Source organism: Homo sapiens, chromosome 20, assembly GCF_000001405.40.
Source record: "Homo sapiens chromosome 20, GRCh38.p14 Primary Assembly".
In the NCBI taxonomy this organism is placed as follows: Eukaryota; Metazoa; Chordata; class Mammalia; order Primates; family Hominidae; genus Homo; species Homo sapiens.
Genome location: NC_000020.11, coordinates 41,644,520 through 41,652,071, shown reverse-complemented (window position 1 = coordinate 41,652,071; position 7,552 = coordinate 41,644,520). Strand labels below are relative to the sequence as shown.

At 44.5% G+C, this 7,552-nt stretch overlaps 1 annotated feature.

Annotated features, from left to right (window-relative positions):
• Positions 1,507 to 2,024: an enhancer, noted in NCBI's record as "NANOG-H3K4me1 hESC enhancer chr20:40278687-40279204 (GRCh37/hg19 assembly coordinates)". NCBI's record gives its function as "activates a minimal SCP1, AML or CMV promoter by ChIP-STARR-seq in naive H9 embryonic stem cells {active_cell/tissue: H9 hESC(naive)}" and the evidence as "EXISTENCE:reporter gene assay evidence [ECO:0000049][PMID:30033119]".

Genomic DNA, 7,552 nt, shown 5'->3' with positions numbered 1-7,552 from the left:
CCTAAACCTTTCCTAATAAAATGACTGCTTGAAAGCCAGCGCAGAGAGACAGGTTTGAGCTGGATTCCTGTCTCCTTGTTAGTCAACTTACAATAAAAATCTTTTCTTTTCTCAAAAGCCCGGCGTCTTAGTAATGGCTTCTAGTGCATCAGGCAGAAAGCCCCTTTTGCTCTGTAATAGTTGCTTGGATAATTCGATGTTTGGGTTAGGCTTAGGTTTAAGTGTTTAGGTTGCCTGGTCATGCTTAAGAGTAAAGCATTAAAAACCCAATCAAAAGCTCTTTGCACTTGGCTTGGGCATGTGGTCTATGGGCTTCACTGTTTGGTGATCCTCCTGGATCCATTTGTGAGGTCCGCCTTCTCAGGCTGGTCATATTTCCCAGAGAAAAGTGTCTCCCACTCTCCTGCCTCAAGGGTAATAATTCTGGTTACAAGCATTCTAGCAGTTGTGAGAGAAGAGAAGAAAATGGTGGGAATCTCACAGTCAGTATGCAAATTTAAATCTGATTTCCCTACTATTATCAGGGAATATCCCAGCCCTCAATTGTACCTGGCACCCCCGATTCAGAAGCCCTCTTTTACCTCCACAAGAAAATAAACATGCAATCTTCTGCTGGGGTTGAAGAAAGGATCTAGGAATCTGCATATCAGACTTTGAACCAATCTTCCTGTTTCAGCCCCATCTGGTGCCACTAATTCCTGAGCCTTGGGGAGTTTCTGCCATGAAATCAGGTTGCTGTTTCTTGGCTTTTCTCACTGCCAGTTTAGGATTCAGCTTTCTGGGTCTGCGAAGTCAGCCACCATTCATTCATGTGCTTTCCAGCTTCTAAAATTGTATTGCTGCTTAGGGATAGGGATATGTCTGCTCTCCCACACTCTTTATCTTCGTACATTTAAACATTTTACAATTTCTTGCAGTGTTGTTTTTGTAGGGTTTTGGAAGAGAGGGTTAGTAATCAATTGCACTTGTTCAATCTGCCATCTTGAAGCAGGGGTCTTTATGCTGAAGAACAACCAGTACTAAAACATCCAGATCCAGCCTGGGTTCAGATGCTGGCTTTAGTACATGAATAGCTGTTTAACTGTGGGTAAGTTATAGAAACTCTCCATACCTTAAAGCATTCCATGAGAGTTAACTATTATTATTATTATTATTATTATTATTATTATTATTATTATTATACAGTATTTACTATGTGCCAGCACCTATAGCAAAGGCAGTGGGTCTGCCAAGATGAAAATTTCAGATGAGCTGCTGCTCTTTCCAGCCCCAAACAGGTATGACCAGTTTCCCTACTCTGGTCTATATCATGTAAATACAATATGTACCTTAAGTAAATTATCAAGCAGGTGGAAGTTCTAGCTGTGCAAATACAGCTGGTAACAATGTAAATACAGCATTTAAATGAACTAGAGGCCAGCAAGGCAGGGCAGTTGTTTTCAAATGTAGTTGAATCTCTTCTGTTGTGAGTATAACAGCCATGGGCATCATTTCCCCCAAATGACTTACTCACAGATTTATTTCTGAGCATCAAAATCATGTTGTCTATTACTTGTTTTGCAGGGCAAATGACACCATCTGGACCCTGGAAACAGCACATGTTTGGTGCAGTCACCCTCCCCCAAGCCAGCATCTTAAGCAAAGTCTCCTCCCCCTTTAAATGAGCCTCCTTCATGTTTTCCTTTCTTCTGGTCCGCTTGGTTTTCATGTTCCTCTCTCTGCTCTCTTTGTCCTGCTGAGCAGACAGCAAACCTGCAGGTTCTGTGATCCTGCTGCTCAGCTTTAAAACAAAAAACAAAAACAAAACCATGTTGCAATTTGTGAACTTTCTCTCCTGGAAGGCATGAACCATCAGCTTTCCTGAAGGTAGCTACTGCAAAGCACTGGTCTTACAGAAGAAAAGGACTGATGAGGGAAAGAGAAAGGGACACAGACAAAGGAAGGAAGGGAAGCATTCAGAAGGAGGGAGAGAGGCCAGCCGGCCCCCAGGTTGAACCACATACTCAGCCTTTAAAAAACTGGGCTTCTTTAACATGGATGCAAGTACCAGCCAAGGTAGTTCCACTGCAGATTCACCACCGAGATGAAGATGGCTAGACATTTTTCAAATGAGAGTAACTGGGCCTGTACTACAAGACGTATTCAGGCTATTAAGATCTCCATGCCCTGCCATTCCCTCTGCCTGGAATGTTCTTTCTCCAGTACTTTGTATTCTGATGGTTCTCGACCCTAGCTTCAAACCCCAAACCCCTGCTTCTAGATAACAGCCTCACAACAGATAATTCAGGGGCCCACGTATTTACAAGCCTGGGAGGTGATCCTGAAAGCTTTGCAGGTATATTCTTCTTTGGCTCCACCCACGCTCCAGTGAGCACAGCTGCATCTGCTCAGTTATGCTCTCTTCTTCCAGACACTGCCAAAAATGCTGAGATACACAAGATGCCAGGCCTTGAGAATCAATGACAGATCCACAGCTGAACTGCTTGAAGGCAGGGCTTGACCAAGTATCTAGTGTGGCAACTCTTCCAATTTTCCCACTTATAGCATGTTTTCATTTTTCAAATTTCAGAATTTATTATATCCCTCCCCTTTCTCTCTCTCTCTCTCTCTCTGTCTCTCTCTGTGTGTGTGTGTGTGTGTGTGTCTCCCCTCTCTGTCTCCCTCCTCCACCACCACCTTAAGATTCAGACATGTGCCTACTGAACACAAATCTGAATGGAAGTCTCCTCTTTGAACTAGAATTGCCCAAGACGAGGGCCCCATTTACTAGGTTAGCTTGTTCTCTGGTTTCCTTTTGGTTAAGGGTGAGTTTTCTCCCAAGAAGCCCTTATGCAAACTGATGTCTGGTTGGCAAGCTCAATACAGACATACCCAGACATGCCATACCCCCATGTGTGGGCACAGCTGATACCCACTTGATCCCAGTAAAACATTCGTAATCCCTTTCATGCTGTCATTGCTTTCGCCCAACAATTCCACCATAGAGAGTGAAGATAAGATTTTTTTTTATTGACCAGGGCCCTTGGGTGCTTCTTGAGTGTGGCTTTCAGGGACAATGACATCGCATGTTAAATAACTCTTTGCTAAAGAGCTCTGAGTACAAACAAATGTTATCCTCTAACATACCCTAAGAACAAAGTGAGTAGGTTCTATCCCTGTCCTACGCTTTGGCCTCCTGTCTGAGGATCTGTCCCCCCCACTGCATCCCCATCTCATCCATCCCCAGAATTGACTGGTTTAGTCCTGTTGGGTCCCAAGTTACTTGGGGGCAGGCAGAGCTGTCTTTGGCACAAAAGTGGAAGCAAGTCCACATGGATCATCTGGGCCCCAGCCAGTGTCTCAAGGTATAGCCACTGGATCCTTAGATTAACCACCATTTGGGTTCTTGGCTAGTTTCTTGGCTGTAGAGGAAGATTATTCTACTTGCCTTGGGCCATTTCTTCATTCCCTACTTCTGATTTTTATGGTAGGCCCAGGGTGCAAATAGCACAGTTTTCAAGCTGTTCTTTCTTTGGGGGGAATCTCTGCCTGCATTGCACATAACCTCGGGGTCCTGCTCTCCCCTGGGCAATAGCAAGCACTTAATTTATGCTGAACCCATTGGACCCTTTCCCTCTCTGGATTTTGAATCTTGAGCAGAATGATCCAGGAATGAAAGTGATGACCTTATAGTACAGCTACTCCATCCAAGCTTCCTAAAAGGACTGCTAATTCCTACTCCCTAGATCCCTGAGATGCCCTTTTTCCTCTTTCCAAAAGCTGACCTATTCAGCTTTCTTTACAATTCTGTGACTTTTCTTATAGTCTTCCAATAAATCCCTTTTTGCTTAAGTTAGCCTAAGTCTGTCTCTTAGACACCAAAGAGTACTACTGGATAGGGATGGCCCTTTCACCATCGTTCTCTGCCACCTGGGTATCCTTTCCCCAAAGCTGTTAATTTTAAAGCCAGGAAGCTCAAGATCCTCCCCCAACCCCCGCCCCCCGCCATATTCCTACAAGATCCAGGCAAACTTTGGCTTCTGATTCCTTGCACCTTCTTTCAGAAAGTGGCCATTCTCAGTTTAAATAACAAAAATCCTCCATCCGTGATCCCTTTTAAATAACACTGCATTTATGAGGCAGGGTTCAACAGAATGGAAAACAGAACCATTCAAAGTATTGAAAACAGGCAATTTAATGCTGAGATTTGGGTTTCCAAGTGACAGAAGAGCTGATAAGCCAAACTGAAGATGGTGAAGCAACTCAGAGCTTAGCAATAGCAGAAACCCCTACCAGCCCTAGGCTGTAAGGACAAAAGGAGGTGATGTTACTGGTGCTCAGGGTTTAGGGTCACTGGAGCAAACTGGGACCATGGTAAGCACATCTGATGAGAGCTGGAGTCAAGAAGAAGATGCAGCAACTGCTGAAGATGCCACCTGTGGCAGAGGCGGGGAGAAACACCTGGGGGTCTCCTTTCTTCCTGTCCTCCCATCTCTTGCCTCCCATGTTCAAGCTAGCTGTAACCCAGCTGGCAGAGGAGCCCAAGAAAGGAGGCTGGGAGGTCGGTCTCACTGTGGCACAGAGCAAAGCAGAAGGAGGACAGGGAACGGATCTGAGAGGACACAGAATGCGGACAGCACCTGCCTCATTATTTAAATTATATTTGCTAAAGTATTATTTAATGTTTAGAATAAAACGATTTTAGCATTTAAATAAATAGCATGTAATATGTGTATATCAAGGTTCAAAAGGTATGCACAATTTTAATTCCTTATTAAATTATTAAATTTGTGTGATAAATTATATATTATCACACAAAACACAATAGGGAAGTCTTCTCGACTAGAAAACGCTTTGTATCTTGATCGTGCTCTCTATGTAATCAACAGGACTGTTTCTTTCTTTACTGTTTGTGTTGATGACACTGTCTTGTACTCATAAATTGTACAGAAATTTGTAGGGAGAAGGGATACAGTAACCCCAAAACTGCAGTTTCACAGGCAGAAGCAATGCCCAGCACCCCCAAACATCCAGGCCCCAGAGACACGAGAGAAGAAACAGGGCAGTTACCACTTGGTGACTTACGAACTCAAATCACCAAGTTCTTCCCCAACCCTTCTGCCTTCTCTTCTGTAATTTCCTTGCTGCTGATGACTGTAAGGCAGACTGGCCTCACATCAGAGCCCAGAGAAGGGGGAGTGACGCAGTGACATGACAACAGTGCAATGATAAAACAGGATTCTTTTTCTTATCTAAGGTGTTAGAATGTGTATAAATAAACATTTTTGTTAGGCGATTTGTTTTAGTTTAGTTTTGCTATTTTAACTACACAAGCAAGACAACATGATCTGAGCACTCCATTTTGTCAGTCTGTGCTGTCTGAAATCGAGGCTCCTGCATTCTGTCCTAGCTTATATAATTCTGAGAAAGCAGTTCTGGTGCAGTGTTCAGGCTCAGTCCTCATCAAAGCAATGCTGGCCATCCTCCCTACAGTACTAATGAAATGATGAGTCTAGGAATGGGAGGGGGAGCGGGGAATGTCAGGAGAAGGCACAGAGTAGGCCCTTGATAATGCATACTCACAGATATTGAATGGCAGACTCAAGAGCAGAGACTGGGTCAGGGTCCCAGCACACTGGGCTCAGGTGCCCCTGCTGGCACAGACCCTGGCATTGCTCTCCAGAGGGGAGGCTAAAGCTCCACCTGTGATCCATCTGGGTCTAGGTGTGCTTCTCCAGGGCAAAGACTGGCAACAGCTGAAGCCTCCACTTGGATGTTCCATGGACACCTAAAGCTAAATGTGTTGGCACATGAATTTGTTACTCTACCGTTGACCTACCCCTCCAGTCATTTGTATCTCAGGTAATGATACCTTCAGCTATTCAGTTGTTATGTTAGAAACCAGGATCTCATCCTTGATACCACACTTCCCACCATCAGCATCACTATGCCCGTACCAGCATGTAATTTATTCTACCTCCCAAACATGCCATGAATCTGTGCACTTCTCTTCATCCCCACAGCCCAGGTCACCTGTGATTTAATATTTGGACTACATAGTCACCTCCTCACTGATTATTCTGGACACATTTTCTGCACAGCAGTCATCCGTTCATTCATTTCCAGTTGTTTGCTGAGTACCTATGGAGTGTTAGGTGCTAGGGATATGGTAGTGAGCAAAACAAAGCCGTCATCATCATGAAACTAATATTCCCCAGATTAAAGCACATCAATGGCATCCCTCTGTCCTCAGTATAAAATCCAAACTCCCTAAGACACCTTCCTCTCTAGTTCATGGCATCCCAGTATTTCCTGTGCTTACCTTCCCAGCCATATGGAATCGATTTCAGTTACCCAAATGCATCAAGCCTTCGCATATCCTAGAATATTCTAACCACCTCCCCTCACTTGCCTATCAGCTACTCACCCTTCAGTTCTCAACTTGGAGCTGTCTTGGCCAGGGTTGTTTGCCAACTGTGATGAGTTGAGTCTTGTTGGGGATAATGGAATTTGGAGGATGCCCAAAATTCCTGAGATCTGAAACCTGTCCTGCCACAGCGACTACTGCCCATCCCTTCTCCCCAAGCCTTTGAAAGAAATATGAGCCCAGAGAATAAGCCCAAACAATGCACACTTTCTTTCTCTGAGGTTCTGGCCTCTGATTGTGCTGGATTGAATAATGTGAAGGATTTTATTGACCTAGGCTGGAGGGAGACCTAACTGATCTCAGAAGAGGATATTTACTATTTTTGGCTACTAAGTATCTGTATTAGTCCGTTCTCATGCTGCTATAAGGACATCCCCAAGACTGGGTAATTTATAAAGCAAAGAGGTTTAATGGGCTCAGTTCTACATGGCTGGGGAGGCCTCACGATCATGGCAGAAGGCGAAGGAAGAACAAAGGCATGTCTTAGGAGGCAGCAGGCAAAAGAGCACGTGCAGGGGTGCTGCCATTTATAAAACCATCAGATCTCATGAGACTTATTCACTATCACAAGAACAGCACGAGAAAAACCCCATAGCTACTGCTGCTGCTGCTTTTTCTTTTCTTCTTTTTGGAGACAGGGTCTCAGTCTGTCACCCAGGCTGGAGTTCAGTGGCATGATTATAGCTCGCTGCAGCCTCAAACTCCTGGGCTCAAGCAATCTTCCTGCCTCAGCCTCCCAAGTAGCTAGAACTATAGGTACATACCACCACATCCAGCTCTTTTTTTAAAATATTTTTTTGTAGAGACAGGGTCTCACTGTCGGCTAAGGCTAATCTTGAACTCAAGCAATCCTCCCACCTCCGCCACCCAAAGTGCTGGGATTACAGGTGTGATCCCATTTTCTGCATTTCTCTCAACTTCCAGGCCATTCTGCTGTTTATCTCTTAGATCCAAACTTCCCAAACGAGGATGTGATTAAATCTGCTGATTACTATTCATAGAGAGTCCTGTATGAGGACTATAGGTCTAGAGCCACCTTCCTCAGAAAGACTAAGGATGTGGCAAACACAGAGCGAATGGAGCCCACTCTGCATTTCAGCCTCAACTTGGGCAAACCTAAGCATGTCATCTTCACTCACAGGTCTG